The 21,771-nt window shown below is 45.0% G+C and overlaps 1 long non-coding RNA gene across 1 annotated transcript in view, besides 1 other annotated feature; it reads right to left on the bottom strand.

Annotated features, from left to right (window-relative positions):
- Window positions 15,808-15,887: an enhancer, noted in NCBI's record as "active region_18366". NCBI's record gives its function as "activates an Ori minimal core promoter by ATAC-STARR-seq in GM12878 lymphoblastoid cells {active_cell/tissue: GM12878}" and the evidence as "EXISTENCE:reporter gene assay evidence [ECO:0000049][PMID:35858748]".
- The window catches only part of LOC105377136 (uncharacterized), a 52,432-nt gene continuing 47,036 nt past the window's right edge, over window positions 16,376-21,771 (bottom strand). Inside the window, exons 5-6 of the long non-coding RNA XR_937669.3 lie at window positions 21,466-21,559; window positions 16,376-17,659 (exon numbers count right to left, since the gene is read on the bottom strand). This is a non-coding gene — a long non-coding RNA (uncharacterized LOC105377136). The remainder of the gene's footprint in view (window positions 17,660-21,465; window positions 21,560-21,771) is intronic.

Genomic DNA, 21,771 nt, shown 5'->3' with positions numbered 1-21,771 from the left:
TAGGAGAGAATGTTGGCAAATCATGTTATGTGAGAAAGAACTGGTATCCAGAATATATAAAGAACTCTTACAACTCAATAAGAAAAAGACAAATAAGTCAATTAGAAATGGATAAAGCCTTTAAGTAGACATTCTCCAAAGAAGAAAAACACATAGCCAATAAATACATGAAAAGATGTTCAATATTATTAGCCCTTAGGGAAATGCAAATCAAAATTACAGTGAGTTACCACCTCACACTTGCCAGGATGGGCTAGAATCAAAACCACAGATAATTACAAGGGTTGGTGAGGATGAGGAGAAATAGAAACCCTCGTAGTCTCCTGGTGGAAATGTAAAATGGGGCAGCTGCTTCAGAAAACAGTTTGGCAGCTCCTCAAAAGCTTAAAAATAAAGGTTCCTTAAGACCCAGTAATCACATTCCTCAGTATATATCCAAGAAGAATGAAAACATATGTCCAAACTAAAACTAGTACATGGATGTTCATAGCAGTATTATTCATAATAGCTAAAAAATGGAAGAAACCCAAATGTCCATCACCTAATAAATGGAGAAATAAAAGGGGTATATCCATACAATGAAATATTATTCAGCCATGAAAAGGAATGTAGAACTGATACATGCTATGACATGGATAAGCCTTGAACACATTATGCTACGTGTAAGAAGTCAGTCACAAAACACCACATATTATGTGATTCCATTGATATGAGATGTCCAGAACAGGCAAATCTATGGAGACAGAAAATAGATTAGTGGTTGCCAGGTGCTGGTGGGAAGGGGAAATGGGTAGTGATTGCTAATGGGTATGCAGTTTTTGCGGGGGTGATGAAAATATTCTCAACTTGGATTGTGGTGATAGGTGCCCAACTCTGAATATACTAACCCCATTGAATTGCATATTTTAAATGAGTAAATTTTATGGCATGCAAATTATGTCTCAACAAAGATTTTTTAAAAAGGGAAACAGAATTGACCCAGCAGCCAAAATGAAATCAGCCCCAAAGCAAAGAACCTCTACCCATGATCTGGGGTTTTCAACCCTGCTCTCAAAGCCTCTTATTAACTGCCTGGTCTCCAGGGTCTTGTCTCAGCCTGCCTGGCTCAGTCTCTGGTTGATGCCCAAGGCTTCCTGCCTTGATTGGGCTTCTCTGGACTCTAATCTGTTTCCTGCCCAGACTCACACACTCCACCAGCCCCTTTCTGCTTACCTAGCTCCTGCTCCCACTGTGTCCTGACCAATACCTGTCTCACTGTACATATTCCTGGTGTAACCACACTGCATCCACACTGTCACAGTTGTCATTTATTGAGCACAACTATGTGCCAGCTGATGCCCCAAGAGCTTTACATGTTGTAACTTATTTAATTCTCAAAACAACTCTCCCTTTTGTTTGGAGACAGGATCTTGCTCTGTTGCCCAGGCTGGAGTGCAGTGGCATGATCATGGCTCACCTTAACCTTGAACACTTGGGCTCAAGCCATCCTCCCACCTCAGCCTCCTGAGTACCTGGGACTAAGGTGTGTGCCACCACACCTAGCTAGAACAACTCACTTTGATACAAGTTCTATTATTGTCTCAATTTTACAGATACAGAAAATGAGGTCAATGAGATCACCAAGTTCACACAGTCAGTGAATGGAGCAGGAGGATTTGAATCTTACTCGAGGGATGACTCACAACCATGGGCCACATGGCCTCCCCTGCGATTTGTTGATGATAGCTGATGGAAGCCAAGATCATGGCTTCCAGATTTTCTCTTTGGAGCCAAGTCACACTTATGTGGAAGGACTGGGCTTCTTCACTCCTTCTCCTTTGAGATCTCCTTGGACCCCTTTTTCTCATTTTTTTGCACTCTTCTTCTTGAGATTCGTTTTGCTTCCCATACCTACAGCCAGCACCTGTGGCTTCCCTTGGTCTACTGGAGCCCCACTTTACTCAAAGATGTGGAGCTGGAAGTGCCTGGGAATTTGTATTCCCCCAAGGTGGGCCTGATCCTCTAACTGATGGCATGCAAGTAAGAAAAGCCCAGCTTCCTTGCTTCTACTGGGCATAACTCTGGGGTAATTTACACTCCACTGTCCCCTGCAGGATCAGGTGACAGTTGCCTTGGAGCGATTTTGCCTGAGATCATACATTTGCTCGGTTTCCTCCCTCTCCGTGTCCTGCTTCTTCACTCACTCACCTCTTTTCCCTGGGAGCTTATCTTTCATAAATGACTTGCACATGAACTTTGTCTCTGGGGCTCCTGGGAAACCCAGCCTAGGATAGAACCTACGTAAAGTACTGAGCATGGCCTAGAGCACGTAGTATGTGCTCATTAAATGGCCACTGTTCTTGGCTTTGCTGTTCTAATAATCATAGCTTATGAAGGATGCTTTTCTTTTCTCCACTAATTCTTGAGTTATGACAAAGAGGTGGGGGAAGTAGAAAACTTGAGATCAGGGGTCAGTCTTGGATTCCAACCCTGTTTGCTTCTCTTAAGAGCTATTCAGCTCTTACACCAGATAGCTGATGCTCCCATCATAAAATAACTTTCACATCTGGCCTTGAAGGTACCAGCTGATATATTTTAAAAATTTAAGAAATTTTGAGAGAAGTTAGAGGATTTAGGCCTCCAAGCAGCTAGCTTCTAATGCTTTCCCAGTCTTGCCTCCTAAAAATAAAAATCAAATATTTATTGAGAGTAAAATGTCCAAGTATTAAAAAACCTCTTATAACCACATATCAAATGATGGTCCTTGTCATACAGCAAGGCCTTTCCTAAGTGCTTTAGAGATGTTGATTAATGCAAACTTCTCAACAACTCTGTGAAGCAAGTGCTATCATCACTCCCATTTTTATGGGTCAGGGAACCAGAACAGAGAGGTTCAGTCACGTGCCCAAGTTCACCCAGGCTGGTTGTGAACTTCAGCAGCGTGGCTCCAAAGTCCATGTTCTAAACCATGAGACTATTCCACCTTCCTGTAATAGAACAGGGTGGTCTCATGAGTAGGCAATGGAAGCAGTCAAAGTCCATATCCCTTGAGCGCCTGCTATGTGCAGAGACGTCCAGTTGCCTGAAAGAACTACCATTAGCGTGCACATGTGCACACACACACAGACACATACACACACACTCACACTAACCTCCCCCCAGAGCCAGAGCCTGACATTACCACTGTCTGGTTAAGTCTCCAGGTCTCAGGTAAGGCTACCATGACTAGGTAAACCCACCTATAACCATGAATAGCTCTTGGTATTCATAACCCCAGGTATTCATGGTATTCATAACCCCAGGCATACTCATTTTGTTGCATTGCCCAGCAATTCTCCAATAAAACTATGATCTAATCTTTTCTGATAGTTTCTACTCTGTGGAAGTCAGAAAGTGTGCTGGGAGTATCTGTGTTTTGTAGCACCTCAGAGGTTTCCTCCACAGAGGAGCTCAGAAAGCCTTTGGTGGATGCGTGAATGAGGGAGAAGGGAGAGGTCCATTCAATGGTTTTCCAACTGTGTTCTGAGGAATCCTGGGGTTCCATGGAGGTCCTGCAGGTGCACCAGATCAAGAGAAAGGCCACGCAAGGGGGATGCCAGAGGTATCCTTCTCCCCATCCTGTCCTGCCTCCAGACCCCTTGCCCACCCTCTTCTCACTTCAACCAGAGAAGCTCTGCCTCAATGTTTTTCATATCTTTGTCTGCCACTCAAACAATATTTGAAAACCCCTTTTGGAAGGAAGGTTAGATGACCACAGTCTCCATGTTCTCACTGCTTAGCCTGCAATGAATGTGCTGATGCGGCCTGTGACATTCTGACCTGCCACCACCCTTGAGACCCCTGTCTTGCTCCCTGATGATGTGGGTTTTTTGTTGTGTTGTGTTGTGTTGTGTTGTAAGACAGGGTCTTGCTGTGTTGCCCTGGCTGGAGCGCAGTGGTGCAACCACAGCTCACTGCAGCCTCAACCTCCTGGGCTCAAGTGATCCCCCTACATTGGCCCCCGAGTAGCTGAGATTACAGGCACGCACCACCATGCCTGGCCAATTTTTGTATTTTTTGTCAAGACAGGGTCTGGCCATGTTGCCCTGGGTGGTCTTGAACTCCTGAACTCAAGCAATCTCACCATCCTGGCCTCCCAAAGTGCTGGGATTACAGGCATGAGCCATGGTGCCCAGTCTCCTGATGATGTTTGACACATGAGTCACGGCCCCTCCTGGGGGCTCTGGCTCTGCTAAAGTCTTCTAAACTCTCCTAAACAAATGCTGAGCCAGCTTGAGATTGGCCAGGGGTGAAGGTGTCTGTTTTTCAGTCATCCAGATACAGTAGCCTGTCATTGAGTCCTTTCCCTGCATTCCTGCACATCAGCCTTGCTTTTAGGGGCGGGAAAGCTCAGGCCAGTCAGTCTTAGTGTGTCTTGGTGACTCTGGTGAAACCTTGGTGCCAGGTACCTAGGGAGCATTCTCTATGTTCCTTATTACTGGAACCCTGGGGGTCTCTGAGTGTGGTTCCCTGGCCAGCAGCGTCAGTATCGCCTGGGATCTTGTTAAACATGCAAATTCTGAGGCCCACCCCAGACCCGCTGAATCTGACTTGGGAACTCTGGAGCAGGACCCTGCAGTCTGTGTGTTAATGAGCCCTCCAGGTGACTCTACGGCTCATTGGAGGTTAAGAGCCTCCGCTGCAGATCATTAGAGTCAGCAGTGTCCATTCAGTTTTCTGTGTATCCTCCTGTGAGTCTGTAACCAAGTGGTAATCAAGCTCTGTGTCTTGGAGCTGGAAAGGGTTTGGGAAGAGCCCATTAGGATCATATATATTTGCATATTATGATTGGAGGAACCTGTTCAGACCACACAAAGGTATATGAAAACCAGAACCCATGTGTTCCCCATTCCAGAAAAACCCTCAGCACCTTTTTGTATCTAGGTCTTCCAAGAAAGAAAACATCAGGACCAGGTGCTGTGGCTCACACTTGTAATCCCAGCACTTTGGGAGGCCAAGGCAGGTGGATCACTTGAGCCCAGGAGTTTGAGACCAGCCTGGGCAACATAGTGAAACCCCGTTTCTACAAAAAATACAAAAATTAGCCGGGCATGGTGGCATGCTCTGTAGTCCCAGCTACTAGGGAGGCTGAGGTGGGAGAATCACTTGAGCCTAGAAGGTCAAGGCTGCAGTGAGCCATGATCACACCACTGCACTCCAGCCTGAGCAACAGAGCAAGACCCTATCTTAAAAGAAAAGAAAAGAAAAGAAAAGAAAAGAAAAGAAAAGAAAACACTGGGCAGGATTCTGCCCCCAAAGTCAGGAATCCTGGAATGTTGAAAAGCCATATGATGTCCTAGTGTCCAAAGCCATCCAAGAGGACAGGATCAGAGCGAGTGGGCTTTGGGAAATGCCCCACTTTCCAGGGAACACTAGGAAGCTCTAATCACCTGACACTTGGAAATGCTCACTTCGTCCTTTTTAAAGTAAGTTGTTTATTTTCACTGGTAGCTAGTGATACTGAATATTCTATCAAGCTTTTCGAGTACTATGGACTCCAGAAATGCTAAGGAAGGAATACTTACTGGAGAAGTTTGCTCTACGGTGTTCTCAGAACACTGAAATGCCTCGCCCTATTAAGTCCTGTGAGTTCTCAGTTTCTGTGAGGTGCTTCGCTCTTAAAAATATGCCATGTCTTTAATTCTCTGTGGCTATTTTTTTCTGTATTGTTTTTGTTTTTTTGAGACAAAGTCTCACTCTGTCATCCAGGCTGAAGTGCAGTGGTGTGATCTTGGCTCTCTGCAGCCTCCACTTCCGAGGTTCAAGTGCTTCTCATCTCTCAGTCACCCAAGTAGCTGAGACTACAGGCGTGTGCCACCATGCCTGGCTAATTTTTGCATTTTTAGTAGAGCCAGGGTTTCAGCATGTTGGCCAGACTGCTCTCGAATGCCTGGCCTCAACTGATCCACACACCTCAGCCTCCCTAGTAGCTGGGACTACAGAGCATGCCACCATGCCCAGCTAATTTTTGTATTTTTTATAGAAACGGGGTTTCACTATGTTGCCCAGGCTGGTCTCAAACTCCTGGGGTCAAGTGATCCACCTGCCTTGGCCTCCCAAAGTGCTGGGATTATAAGTGTGAGCCACAGCACCTGGTCCTAATGTTTTCTTTCTTGGAAGACCTAGATACAAAAAGGTGCTGAGGGTTTTTCTGGAAAAACCCTGGGATTACAGGTGTGAGCCACCTGGGATTACAGGTGTGCGCCACTATGCCTGGCCTATCTTTTCTAAACACAAAGCAAGGCTTCACAGATGCTTATTTTTGGTTATTACTTTTCTGTGTCTGTTTGCAAATTCTTTGACATATTTTCTCATGGATGTGCGCTACATCTTTCCAAAAGCATGCAGTCCTTTCCCCACTGCACGCCGTTCTGTGAAAACACACTACCGTGTGTGTGCGAGATGGAGGGAAGTCATTTCAGAAAGGCATTCAACTCCAAACTTTGAATCACATTATTTAAATGTACCAAACAAAGAACAAATGCATTTCTCAATTATAGAACCCATCTGTGAGGTGCTTTCAAAACACGCAGTTGTGCAGCCAGACATTTGATCAAATTCTTAAATCATCTTGAAACAGTAGTTGCCCCCCTGCCCCTCTCCACGTTTGCTTGTGCAATATGATAGCATTGTATGTTTCACTTTTTAAGTTAAATATGTTTTCCATTTACTCCAACCAGCAACAAAGTGATTCCAAACCACTGAGGGTGGCAATAAGCAGTGATAACCGCCTCTCGGAAAGAATTGTCACCAATCAACTTGAACCTTCCAGTGCCCAGGCTGGAATCAGTTTTCTCTGGCTGAAAACAACTACCCCTTCCTCCGGGGAGGTGTAGGCTGGATGCATCATTAGCACCATGTGGAGGAAGTCCTGTTCTCAAAACTCCATAGCTGTAATGTCAAGAAACCAGGAGAGACTTTAGAAGCCATTTGTTATGGGTTGAATTGTGTTCCTGCAAAAGACGTTGAAGTCCCAACCCTCAGTACCTGTGAATGTGACCTTATTTGGAAACAGGGTCTTAAGATGAGGTCATCAGGGTTGGCACAAATCCAATATGGCTGCTGTCCTTATGAAAAGGGGAAATTTGAACAGACAGACACATACACAGGGAGAATGCCACGTGAAGATAAAGGTAGAGATTGGGATGTTGCATCTATAAGTGAAGAAATGGCAAAGATTGCCAGCAAACCACCAGAAGTTGGGAGACAGGAATGAAAGAGATTCTACCACAGCGACTTCAGATGGAACCAATTGCGCAGACACCTTGATCTTGGATTTCCAGCCTCTAGAACCAAGACAATATATTTTTGTTGCTGAAGCCACCCAGTTTGCAGTGCTTCATTGCAACAGCCCTAGGAAATTACCATGCAGTCCACCTAAGTCTACAGATGAGCATCTGAGTCCCATTAATTAGGTAGTTACGGCAAAACTGAGACTTCTTAGAGCCTGATTTGGGGTCCAACAAACTTTCCATTATTGTGTCGCTAAACTCACTACCAAAGGCAATAATCATAGGCCTTGCCTTGAGAGATCACTTAGCATCCCTCTCCAGGGCTTGTTTTCAAATCAAAATCTCCCTCTCAAGCACCAAGGGGCTGAGAATACAAAGACACCCAAGATTCAGCCCTTTCGGCGAGCCGGTCTCCCCGTGGCGAAGGTTTATTTAGCTCCAGTGTCAGGAAGTTTTGCCGAGGCTCTTTGAGTAGAAGAATGGCAGAGGAACCAAAGTTGGTTAATGAGGGGCTGAGATGAAAGAGAGACAGTTGAATCTGTCTTCTTTCTTCTCACCCTCGGGACCAGGGCGGTGTAAAGACAAATACAAGAATACCTTGATAGTCGCCAGTCGCCTCCTCCTCTCTTGAGCGCCCTCTGGTGTTCTCAAGTAAGACAGCAGTAGCTCATTAAGGTTGCAAAGGTGCCTGAGCAAAGGCGCAATTCCTTTATTTAGAAAGCTGGAGGAATTCTTTCGGGTAACTCATTTTCAGAGTTTAATATCCTTCAACTTTCCAAGGACAACAGAGGTAGCAATTCTGAGCTCAAATTTTGGTTTGCTTCCTCACTGTTTTCGGCATTCTTTCTGACCTCAAATTTCACTACCGCGTGTCTTTTACGATGACTTTTTCCTGTTCCACTGACCTTGCCCATACCTCACATACACCGGTTCTGAGAAAAAGGAAAAAGACTCTGACCCCACTTCCCTGGGCACACAGGCAGAGTCGGGCTAGTCTCTAAAGCAGAGTTTCTCAACCTTGGCACCACTGACATTTGGGACCTGACCACTCTCTGTTGTGGGGGCTGTCCCGTGCTTTGCAGAATGCTTAATAGCGTCCCTGGCATCCACCCAACAGAGGCCAGCAGCACCCCCCTCACCTTGTCACAGCTAAAGATATTTCAGATATGGTCAAACGTACCCTTATGTTCCCTAGGAGGTAAAATCACGCCATCGATTGACCTAATGTGCTCTCTCTCAGTATACATACTTTTTTTTTTTTTTCTTGGAGACGAAGTCTCACTCTGTCACCCAGGCTGGAGTGCAGTGGTGTGATCTCAGCTCACTGCAACTTCTGCCTCCCAGCTTCAAGCAATTCTTCTGCCTCAGCCTCCTGAGTAGCTGGGATTACAGGCAGGTGCCACCAAGCCCAGCTAATTTTTTTGTATTTTTAGTAGAGACGGGGTTTCACCATGTTGGTCAGGCTGATCTCGAACTCCTGACCTCGTGATCCACCCACCTCAGCCTCACAAAGTGCTGGGATTACAGGCATGAGCCACTGCGCCTGGCCAGTATACATACTTTAAAAGCACTTTCCCCTCAATGAAAATGAAACTACCACTCAAAGTTCTTTTTGATTTTTGGATGTCATTTACAATTGTGTGTGTGTGTGTGTGTGCATGTGAGAGACAGGGTCTTACTCTATCGCCCAGGCTAAAGTGCAGTGGCACAATCTTGGCTCACTGCAACCTCTGCCTCCTGGGCTCAAGTCTCAGCCTCCCAAGTAGCTGGGACCACAGGTGCATGCCACCACACCCAACTAACTTTTGTAGTTTTAGTACAGAAGGTGTTTCACCATGTTGCCCAGGCTGGTCTCAAACTCCTGAGCTTAAGCAATCCACCCGCCTTGGTCTCCCAAAGTGCTGGGATTACAGGCGTGAGCCACCATGCCCGGCCATCAGAAGTACTTTTATGAGCTAGCCTCTGAAGTCAATACCATTATTCCTTAAATATCCTATTGGTTACACAAGTCAGCTCTGTGTATATGGGAGGGGACTATACAGGATGTGAATGCAAGGAAGTGAGAATTACTAGGGGCCATCTTGGAGGCTGGCTATCACACTGCTGAGATAAGGAGGGTACAAGTGTTTGCCACTAGGGAGTGTAGACAACAAAGTGGCAGTGGTAGGAGTGGATGCAGGTGACTACCAAAGGCTGTGCTGTGGAGTGGATGCTCCTTGCCCAGCTGGGAAGAGCCTTCCTCCATTTTGAATTGCCATTTGCGACCAAGTCCTGTTTATCTCTCTCCAGAATCCAGGAGCATAGCTGTCACTTTGTGTCTTTGACAGAAGCAACTAAACATTGCAGAGGAGACACAGGGTGTCTATCTTCTATCTGGTTACCAGAAAGTCATCCATAAAAATAAGCTATTCCCTGCTCATCAAATCTCCCAGGTGTATGCGCACAAGAAAATGTCCCACAGGACTCCTTCTCATGCACATTTGCTTGTAAGATTTATGCCAGATTTCTCACCAACCAAACCTGCCCCGTCTGCCCCCAGAGGAACAGAAAGCAAAGGATGTTTCCGTTCATTTCTTCTTGTTTCCTTCTTGAATGTTTATGAGATCAGGCCAAAGTCCCCCATGTATCCCAACTCCTAGAAATTATCCCAAATCAACACCAAATGCTGCATAAGTCCTGAGCATCAGCTTTTAGATTTAAGGGTAAGCCCTGATACTACCTGCCATGGGTTGAATTGTATCCCACCAAAAGATATGTTCAAGTCCTAATTTCCAGGACCTCAGACAAATGTGACCTTATTTGGAAATAGAGCCACTGCAGATGTAATTCGGGTGAGGTCATGCTGGAGTAGGGTGGGCCCTAATCCAGCATGTCTGGTGCCTCTATAAGAAGACAGCCATGAGAAGACAGAGACACAAGGAGAAAGCCGTGTGAAGATGGAGGCAGAGATTGAAGTGATGCAGCCACAGGTCACAGCAGGTCCGAGGCCACCAGAAACTGGGAGAGAGAAGAAGGCATCCTCCGTAGAGACCTCAAAGGAAGCAGGCCCTCAAAGAAAGCAGGAGAGATAAGAAAGCCTCCTCCCGTAGAGGCCTCAAAGAAAGCACCTTGATTTCAGACTTCTAGCCTCCAGAGTTTTCAGATAATAAGTTTTTGTGTTTTAGGCCACACAATTTGTAGCATGGCATCTACAGTTTCCACAACTGTGCATTCAACCAGCCACAGGTCGAATATATTTGAAAGAATATAAAAAATAACAATACAACCATAAAAAATAATACAAATTAAAATACAGTATAACAACTATTTGCATAGCAGTTACATTGCGTTAGGTATTATAAGTAATCTAGAGATAATTTAAAATATATGGGAGGATGTGCACAGGTTATATGCAAATACTGTGCCATTTTATATCAGGGACTTGAGCTTCCTCTGATTCTGGTGTCCTGTGAGGGTCCTGAAACCAATCCTTCACAGAAACCAAGAGATGGCTGTATGGTACGTTGTTATGGCAGCCCCAGACAATGAATACACTATTGTTATGGTGAAATTAACTTCTCTCCATTGTAAGCATTTTTAATGAATGAAGTAGACTTTCCTATGATTTTTTTTCGCTTTTGCTGCTGATGCTCCTGATTCCTACAAATCACTACCATTATTACTTAATACTACAACATAGCATTTATCAAGCAGAGAAATAAAATTATTTTGACCCCCAAACTGGGTTTTCACCCAATCACCTGATAACGCAATATAACTGCTTAGGAGAAACATTGCAAAGTCGACACAGATAAAAACAATTACGTGATGTTTTGAGGAACTGCAGCAAGTGTGGAAAGCAAAGTCTATTAGTCCGTTCTCATGCTGCTATGAAGAAATACCTGAGACTGGGTAATTTATAAAGGAAAGATGTTTAATTGACTCACAGTTCCACGGGGCTGAGGCCTCAGGAAATTTACAATCATGGCGGAAGGGGAAGCAAACACATCCTTCTTCACACGGCAGCAGCAAGGAGAAGTGCCGAGCAAGGGGGGAAACGCCCCTTATAAAACCATCAGATCTCGGGAGAACTCACTACCGCGAGAACAGCATGAGGGTTACAGCCCCCATGATTCAATTACCTCCCACCTGGTCCATCCCATGACAGATGGGGATTATGAGAACTACAATTTAAGATGAGATTTGGGTGGGGACACAGCCAAACCATATCAGGAGGCTTTTCAAAGGAAACCTGGCTATCAATCATTTAGGGAGGGTCTCCACCTGCCAACTGAGAGTTACAGAAGCAGAGCCCTGGGGAGAGGAGCTGGCAGGTAAATGCATGGATGTGAGTCACACAGGAGGCCTCATTTCCAGCCCCAACAATTGTTTGTGACCTGGGCAAATGGCTTAGCCTTTTGCACCTACGTCTGTTAATCTGTGAAATGATGATAATTCCTGCCACGTGGACAACACAAGCAGGGGTTTAGCACCATGCCTGGCACACAGTAAGCTCCCAGTAACTCCCAGTAAGTGGCCGCCACCGCACTTTCCTGATGCCACCATTATTCACAACCATCATCTTCAGTGATCACAGAAGATAGTCCCAGTGACGCAGAGAAGACAGCGAGGCCATGTGTTCACCAAGCTCAAGGAAGCAGCTGGTGAAGGGTCACAAATGCGGCTTCAAATGGTGGAAATGGACTCTGTCACTAACTGGTTCTTCCCCTTATGTGACTTTGATTGAGTCCTCTAGCCTCTCTAGAGGTGAATATGGAGGGAAATGAATCAAACATTGAAATACTCAGCCTATAGGGTGATTTTGAAAATTTAATAGGAAAATATACGAAAGAGCATTCTGGAACATAGTAAAGGCTCTGCAAATAACATTTGAATATAAATAGTGATTTTGTTCACAACCATAAAGGTAGCATTAAACATATATATATATATACGTTTGACACATATCTTGGAGGTTTCACCACAGATTGGAATAATGTGTTCTGTTAATTGGGCCAGTGGTATCATAATAAATTAGCATTAGATTAACTGAAAATATAAAAACAGATTAGCAGAGGTTGCAGTGAGCCAAGATTGCGGCACTGCATTCCAGCCTGGGCGACACAGCGAGACTCCATCTCAAAAAAAAAAAAAAAAGAAAGAAAGTACTTCTGACTTCTGCCTTGCTCCCTCTTGGATCACCATCTAAGAGGGAAGCCAGCTGCCATGTTGTGAGGCCATTCAAGCAGGCTGTGAACAGCCCATGAGGGAGGAATTGAGGTTTCCCACCAACAATTAGCACCAACTTGCCAGGTGTGTGAGTGTGCCTCCTTGGAAGCAGACCCTGCAGCCCCAATCTAGCTTTCAGAAGACTACATCCCCAGGTGACACACGACATGAACCTCAAGAGGGACCCTGAGTCAGAACCACCCAGCTAAGCTTCTCCTGAATCCGTGACCCATGGAACTGGGAGATAAAATAAGGTTTGTTGTTGTTGTTGTTTTGAGACAGAGTCTCACTCTGTCACCAGGCTGGAGTGCAGTGGCCAATCTCTGCTCACTGCAACCTCCGCTTTCTGGGTTTAAACGACTCTCCTGCCTCAGCCTCCTGAGTAGCTGGGATTACAAGGATGTGCCATCACGTTTGACTAATTTTTGTATTTTTAGTAGAAACGGGGTTTCACCATGTTGGCCAGGATAGTCTCGATCTCCCGACCTTGTGATCCACCCGCCTCGGCCTCCCAAAGTGCTGGGATTACAGGTGTGAGCCACTGCACCCAGCCGGTTTGTTGTTGTTTTAAGCCCATAAGTTTTAGGGTGTTTAATTACACAGCAATGGATAACTAATATGGGGAGGTCTAAACCTATAAGGCAGATAGGACAGAGTTCCCAATGAGGAAATATCCCTTGTAGCTATAATCGGAACCTGATGTTGCCCTTTCTAATCTAAAAGACTTCAGCAGAACAGAATTCCTTCACCCTGACACTGTGGGGTTTATTTTGTCAGTGCCCTAAGAAACAAGCCAGTTTTCTGAATTCTAAGCATGTAATCAGCCAACTGGGCTGAAGAAGCTGGGCCCCAAGCCGCTCTCACCTGGAGGGCTGGGGCCTATGACCTAATAATTATGCTAATGCACCTGAAAACATACCGTGAGGGTTGTAGCAAACATGTCCTACATCCCCACTGAAGTTCTTCAACTGAGGACAGCATTAAACTGCAGCATGAGACCCTTTAAGGAAGACCTGTCTGCTGCCTGGCTGGTTGGAGACATGGATCAGTTACTGGGGCTGTGGTGGATCCATCTATGGAATGGGGGGCACCCGAAGCTGCAGGAAGCTTCTGTTAAAGATCAGCAGAGGTTGCCTTGGGTTCTTGATGTCCCCCTGCATACTATAGGTCATGCCAGTTACCTGGGGGACAGAAATACTGAGGAGCTGCCTGTGAATTTCTTTTAAATAAATGGTCCTTCCCATATGAAAATTATCCTCACTGGGAAACTATATCCTTTGAATGCTTTCTCTCCTAAATTGGTTCTCAAACTTGACTATGCATTAGACTCACCCAGAGAATCTACCAAAAATGCAGATTTCAGGAGTCCATTCCCAGCAGCTGTTAGCTAGGCCCAAAAAGATGGCTCTTGTTTTCTAGCTGCTCCCAAGATTTTAATTTGCAAACAGGTTTGAGAACCACTTGTCAGTCAATTTATGTGACAAATCCATTTCAAGTCCCCAGTCAAACATCGTGCTGTGGAAGCCCCCAGACAGGCCTGCCCACGTTACAACAGTACGGTGGGAGACATTGGTCTAACAGCCCCCTTACTAAAAGCATCATAAAGCCTAGGTGTTCACTCTTGCCCAGGGAGTGTTAGAATTCTGTCCCCCGGCTCCCTTCTTCAGGCAGTTAATGAGGGGGTTAAACATAAGAGTTTTGGAATCAGACAAATCAGACCTGGGCCCGTGATACTCAAGAGCTACATACCGGCCGGGCGCGGTGGCTCATTCCTATAATCCCAGCTCTTTGGGAGGCCGAGGCGGGCGGATCACCTGAGGTTGGGAGTTCTAGACCAGCCTGAGCAACATGGAGAAACCCTGTCTCTAGTAAAAATAAAAAATAAAAAATTAGCCAGGCAAGGTGGCGCATGCCTGTTATCCCAGCTACTCGGGAGGCTGAGGCAGGGGAATCGCTTGAACCCGGGAGGCAGAGGTTGCGGTGAGCTGAGATTGCACAATTACACTCCAGCCTGGGCAACAAGAGCAAAACTCCATCTCAAAAAAAAAAAAAAAAAAAAAAAAAAAAAAAGAGCTATATACCATTGGGTCAGTTAACTCACTTGGCTAAGCCTTGGTTTACCCATCTGTAAAATGGAGGTTGGATGATTTTGTTAAGGCTGTCATAACAAAATACCACGGACTGGGTGGCTTCAACAGCAGATTTTATTTTCTCACAATTCTGGAGGCTAGAAACCTGAGATGAAGGTGTCAGCAGGGCTGGTTTCTTCCAAGGCCTCTAACCTTGGGTGTAGACAGCCACCTTCTTGTGCTGTCACATGGACTCCCTCTGTGTATGCGTGTGTCCTAATTTTTTTTCTCATAATGACACCAATCATATTGGATTAGGGTCCCCTCATATGACCTCATTTTAACTTAATTGCCCCTTTAAAAACCATATCTCCTGTTATGGTTACAATCCTAGGTAATGGGGAATTAGGGCTTCAACATATGAATTTTGGGGGTACAATTCAGCCCAGAACAGAGGTAATATGGTCATGATTAAATAAGATAAGGCGCCTGAAGCCGAGGCTGTTGGACGCTCTCAGAAGATGTAAACTCCTGTTTCCACGCCTACCAGTTTTGGTGGCACTATGTAAAAAAATCACCTTCAAGAAGTGGGTGGCGGGCGGATCACGAGGTCAGGAGATCGAGACCATCCCGGCTAAAACGGTGAAACCCCGTCTCTACTAAAAATACAAAAAATTAGCCGGGCGTAGTGGCGGGCGCCTGTAGTCCCAGCTACTTGGGAGGCTGAGGCAGGAGAATGGCGTGAACCCGGGAGGCGGAGCTTGCAGTGAGCCGAGATCCCGCCACTGCACTCCAGCCTGGGCGACAGAGCGAGACTCCGTCTCAAAAAAAAAAAAAAAAAAAAAAAAAAGAAGTGGGTGGCACACAGGAAAACTGGCTTTGCTTTCAGGCAATAATCTCCTTAAAACATCTGGTCTGCCCCCACCCCTACCCCCGCGACTGGTGCAAATCAACCCTAGCGCTGGAATCTGAGCAGCTGCAGCCACACAGGGCTGTTTCCTGACGAGGCCTTTGCCGGAGGCTGCATGGAATCCGAGCTTAACACTTGAGACTGGGCTTCTTTTCACAGGCGCTGAGGGCTCAAGCACTTTGTTGCATCTAATCCTTTTTCAGAAGGAGAAAGGCATTTTAATGCGGCCACAAAATCCTCAATTTGGGCTTGCAAAGGGCCCTGGTGGATTTTCACACTTGGCCTGGTCTCCCTGCAAGGTACCAGAAACAAGGCCAGCGACCCACACATGGGACTATCTGATGGTGCAAGGAACAGGGGACCATGGGCCCCTAGAGCCTGAGGATGCACTCTACATGGACTGGATTTTTGCTTCTTAGGTGTGGTCTGCTGTGAAAGTCCACTGCAAGATGATGTCCCCTCTCTGCACCACGAGGGAGCCCAGCGCTCTCAAAACACATTGCTGCAGAGGCTGGGGCAAAGGAACTCATCTCTGAACTTCCTTGTTACTCATTAGGGTGCTAAGGTGAAAGGAAGTGGGTTTTGTCTTTTTTTTTTTTTGAGACAGAGTCTCACTCTCGCTCAGGCTGGAGTGCAGTGGTGTGATCTCGGCTCACTGCAACCTCTACCTCCTGGGATCAGGCGATTCTCCTGCCTCAGCCTCTCGAGTAGCTGGGACTACAGGAACCCACCACCATGCCTGGCTAATTTTTGCATTTTTGGTAGAGATGGGGTTTCACCATGTTGGCCAGGCTGGTCTTGAATTCCTGACCTCAAGTGATCTGCCTGCCTTGGCCTCCCAAAGTGCTGGGATTACAGGCGTGAGCCACCATGCCCGGCCAGGAAGTGGGTTTTTGGGAGCCCTCAAAGAGGCAAATGCGAAGTGCCACAACCACAAACGCTGACCAAGCCCCTGGTGGCCTTGAGACCTTGGGGTGAATGTACAGTGCCCTCTTGTCCACAGCTGTGCTTTGGGGCCCACAGTCTGCTGTAAAAGGATGCTGGCTTGTAAGAGATGAGGGTAGGCAGGGAGCAACCTGGATGTGAGTTTGCAGATCTGGGCAAGGAACTTTTCATCTCTGGGTCTCTGGTTCTTCATTTGGTTACATCAATTACCTACAATATTCTAGCTCTAATGTTTATGATTACTGAATTGCATCCACATCTAGACTAACTAGACGTGATGCTTCTGGTTCAGCCCAGCTAGCAATCAAGCATTGGATCAGAAAGGTGACATCTACTTTTGAAAAGGGAGAGACATTGAGAGAGAGAAAAAGAGAGAGAGAGAGAAAAGCAACATGTTATCTCAGCAAACCAAGCTCAGGGACCTATAATTCTGTCTGGAATTATGGACATCTATAATTTTCCCTGATTTCTCTGGGGGAATAGCCCGGCACAGATCCATGGAACCTGCCCTGTTGTTGTTGTTGTTGTTTTCCCGTGGGTCTCGGGTAAGGTCCAGGCAACTGTATTTTGCATACTCCAAGTAATTTAAAAGCTTGCCAAATTGTGAAGGTCTCTGTTTTAAACCATTTGCCTCTTGCCTAACCAGACTTTCTGGTCTTGCCTTGTTCCAGACTTTTGGCATCCTAATCTGAACAAAATCATCTAATCTGAATAAGATCACTACCCACATTTACGAAGTGGCCCAAACTATCCTTCATCTAGATTCTACCATTAACAGAAGCCTCACCAAGGTATAGAAAGATTAAGACAGTGGCCCAGGGAGCCATTTATATTCTCAAAAGTTATCTGAATCGTAGCAGAATGGGCAACAGGCCTTGCTTGATGGGATTCCTGGGCCTGGCTCTGCTTTGAATTTTGGCCTCAAACATTGCAGAAGCTCTCTTTGCCTCTCAAGATATGAAATATCCAAATGGGCAAAGTCTAGCATGAAGACGAAGCTTGGTCTTCAGCCCCATGACAGACACTACCAGGAAACTAGACTGCAAACCCCAAGGCCCAAGACTTCCTCTACCTGGGGGTATTGGGTGTGGAATTGGCACTCAACGCCTTCCTGGTGGCAAGTGTTGCTTGATGAAACCAAAGTGTCCTCCAGGTTTCTTCTTGCTCGTTAGGAACCAGCCCGCACAGCAGGAGCTGAGCAGCAGGCAAGCGAGCCAAGCTTCATCTGTATTTACAGCTGCTCCCCATCACTCGCATTACTGCCTCAGCTCCACCTCCTGTCAGATCAGAGGCAGCATTAGATTCTCAGAGAAGCATGAACGCTATTGTGAACTGCGCATGCGAGGGATCTAGATTGCTGCTATTTATGAGAATCTAATGCATGATGACCTGTCACTGTCTCCCCTCACCCCTAGATGGGACCACCTAGTTGCAGGAAAACAAGCTCAGGTTCCTACTGATTCTACATTATGGTGAGTTGTATAATTATTTCATTGTCTATCACAATGTAATAATAATAGAAATCAGTGCACAATAAGCGTAATGCACTTGAATTATTCTGAAACCATCCCCCCGCACCCCATCCATGGAAAAATTGTCTTCCGTGAAACTGGTCCCTGGTACCAAAAAGGTTGGGGCAAAACCTGGGCACGGTGGCTCACACCTGTAATCCCAGCACTTTGGGAGGTCAAGGTGGGCAGATCATAAGGTCAGGCGTTCCAGACCAGCCTGGGCAACATGGCGAAACCCCATCTCTACTAAAAATACAAAAAACAGCCAGGCATGGGGGTGGGCATCTGTAATCCCAGCAGGAGGATTGCTTGAACCTGGGAGGTGGAGGTTGCAGTGAGCTGAGATTGTGCCACTGCACTCCAGCCTGGGTGACAAGAGGAAGACTCTGTCTCAAAAAAAAAAAAAAAAAAAAAAAAAATCTGTGTTAGATAACAAAGAATGAATGATAAAAGTAATATGTGTATTAGGCAGAAAACTTGGAAAATATAAAAAAACTAAAACAAAACAAAAGCAACTCTTATCCTAACACCCAGAGATAGCCACTGTTAATATTTTCTGGTGCATCTGCTCTACATTTTGAGTAGATAAAATGTATGGTTAGACTCCTTGTCTTTCAAGTCCTGCACTTTCTCCAGCCTCTACTCTTTTCTCCTCTGTGGTTCTTTAATGGGTTATTTCTCAGAAAAGGATGTCACACTCATTCACACCAAGGTATAATTGAATAATAATAGCTGAGAGTATTACTTTGACTAGGCAAGTTCTATTTTTAACAGACTTAAAGCTTTCAGATGAGAGAATAAAGCAGTTAGCACTTCTCCCCCGCCACCTCCTCTATCTCAGCTATCTCCGAGTCCACTACACTTAGAATGATTAGATCTGAAGTCTAGGCCCAGCATTGTCACAGTCAGCCATTATTGTGAACTTAGACAAGTAATTTCACTTTTTTATGTCTTTTCTGTAAAGTAAAAGGGGTTAAGCCAGGAAGTAATAACTCATTAAAGTCAAACACTTTTTTTTTTTTAGATGGAGTTTCACTCTTGTCGCCCCGATTAGAGTGCAATGGTGCGATCTCGGCTCACCGCAAACTCCACCTCCCAGGTCAAGTGATTCTCCCGCTTCAGCCTCCCGAGTAGCTGGAATTACAGGCGCCAGCCACCATGCCTGGCTAATTTTTTGTATTTTTAGTAGAGACAGGGTTTCACCATGTTGGCCGGGCTGGTTTCAAACTCCTGACCTCGTGATCCACCTGCCTCGGCCTCCCAAAGTGCTGAAATTACAGGCATGAGCCACCACGCCCGGCCAGGTCAAACACTCTTTATTCCATAATTGAATGCATATATATGTACTTACGTATATTTAATATCTATTATAATTATATCTTAGATATAAATATATATTTATGTATTTAATATTTTATTATACAAATTTCTAACAAATTAAAAATAGAGGAAATAGCACAAATTACCTCTATTTACCCATCCTTGGGCCACAAAAAGCAGAAATTCCTGGCCCTCTGATTTTACTTACACTGCCACCTAGTTCTCTTCAAGTACCAAGTTATTTTGAAGCAAATCCCAAACATTATACCATTTCATATGTACATATTTAGTATATGCCTTTAAAAGATAAGAAGTCTGTATTTAAACAAAATGATGGTCATGCCTGAAGAATGAAAAATAATTTCAATTTCATCAAATAACCATTCAGTGGAACTGAATGTGTTTTTGTGCATATTTATGTAGGCATGTTCAGGATTTTGTTTTATTTTGTGTGGTTTCAGGAGCCAAATCTACAAGTTCCAACGAAGTCCTTCGTAGATGCAGGGAGTACTAATAATGTCTCAGTTGGGGAGCTTGCCCCCAGATGGAGCTTGGAACAATAAAGTAAACAACACTAAGTGCCAGGCACTCAGTACATTGCTAAGAAGAGCTGTTGGTGCCTTTCAGTAAGAGGGTGAGAGAGAACGAAGAAGTTATCTTTGGGAAGCCCGACCCTGATCAGAAAGACTTCATCAAGGAGATGCGGCATAACCTGGGGCTTAAACTTAGGGATATGCAAGAAGGAGAAAGGGATGATGTGAGAACAAAGAGAAAAAACAACTCACTGGGAGGCTGAGGCTGGCAGATCACTTGAGTGCAGGAGTTTGAGACCAGTCTGGGCAACATGGTGAAACCCCGTCTCTATAAAAAAATACAAAAATTGGCTGGGCATGGTGGCACACACCTGTGGTCCCAGCTACGTGGGAGACTGAGGCAAGAGGATTGCTTGAGCCCAGGAGGTCGAGGCTACAGTGAGCTGTGATTGTACCACTGCACTCCAACCTGGGCCCTGTCTCCGAAAAAAAAAAAAAAAAGAAAGAAAGAAAGAAAGAAAAGAAAAAGAAAAACCAACTCATTTGACTTTACAAGCTAATTTCCATGAAGACAGGACACATGGGGCAGTTTGAGTTTGTGTTAATCTCTTATTCATATACTTGTCTACTTGTCAAACTTGTATTGAAATCTAGATAACACCCTGATTAGATTTAATGTGTGTCAGGGTGGGTGGGGGGAGATGGTACAAGAAATAGAGACACAACGTTAGAAAGAGGCATTGAGAAGCAAGCGCTCGGTGTTTGTTGCGTAAATTCTCATAGCGGGTGGTGACGTGATAAATCTGAATAATTTTTATATATAGTAACAAAGCAACTTGGTAGTTTCATGAAACAAATTGTCCTGTACTGAGGAGGGACCTAGAATAGAGGCAGACTCTAGCACTTAGGGTGGACCAACCCAGAACTGTTCCATTGCCAAATAGTAGCCTGCTGGTCCCTGGAAGTGATTTTTAGTTAATTCTCATTCTGCTATACTACTCTATAATTTTGACCATTGATCTCTTCCTTTTATTAAAATTTTTTAAAATGAAAGTTGTAAATCCACAGAGTTTAGGGTTAGATTGTTTGTGGGTATTTTTGGCTTGTTTGTTTGTTTGTTTGAGGCAGGGTCTCTCTCTGTTGCCCAGAGCTGGAGTGCAGTGACATGATCCCGATTCACTGCAGCCTCACTGTCCCAGGCTCAAACAATCCTTCCATCCCAGCCTCCCAAGTAGCTGGGACTACAGGCATGCACCACCATGTCCTGCTAGTTTTTTTTTTTATTATTATTTTTTGTAGAGATGGGGGCTCACTATGCTGCCAAGGCCAGTCTCAAACTCCCGGCTCAGCAATCCTCCTGCCTCAGCCTCCCAAAACTTTGGGATTACAGGCGTGAGTCACCATGCCCAGGAAGATAGATTTAAAGCTTATGATAGAGAGCAGTTCCTCAACTCTCCATTTTCCCTCTGCCATTTTCTAATTCTAAAGCAATCACTTTCATTTTAATGGATTCTTTTGATATTTACATCCATATATCTATAATAACATGACTTCATTACTATTTCTTGGTGTTTTCATCTTATGCATTGAACATTGACTTCCTCTACAGATAAAAAAGGATTTTACTGTTTCACATAACATACAACATATACACACAAGAGCATGCACAAGTGCTTGTGGGCGCACACACACACATACACACACACACACACCCCTTACCTCCATTCTTCCTCTATAGTTTCACTGAAATTCTGCAGATTCATATTCGATGCTCTTCAAGTAAATTAAAGTGGAGGTCAGGCCTGAAGAATCTCTGAGCAGACAAAACAAGTTAGGCCTCTTAAGTGACCTAAACCTTGCTTGATTGCAAACATAAGCAAAACTTAACTTCAGATTTTTCTTGCAAATGCCTGTATTAAAGAAAAACATAATTTAAGCCCAAACAATCAGAAGTAGCCAAAAACTTGTAATTATTTAATTAGGGATTTTCCAGTGGGACTGATATGGTTTGGATATTTGTCCCCA

The sequence above is a fragment of the Homo sapiens genome, chromosome 21 (genome assembly GCF_000001405.40).
Source record: "Homo sapiens chromosome 21, GRCh38.p14 Primary Assembly".
In the NCBI taxonomy this organism is placed as follows: domain Eukaryota; kingdom Metazoa; phylum Chordata; class Mammalia; order Primates; family Hominidae; genus Homo; species Homo sapiens.
The sequence above is the reverse complement of the archived record's forward strand: the minus strand, read 5'-3'. Positions and strand labels throughout refer to the sequence as shown.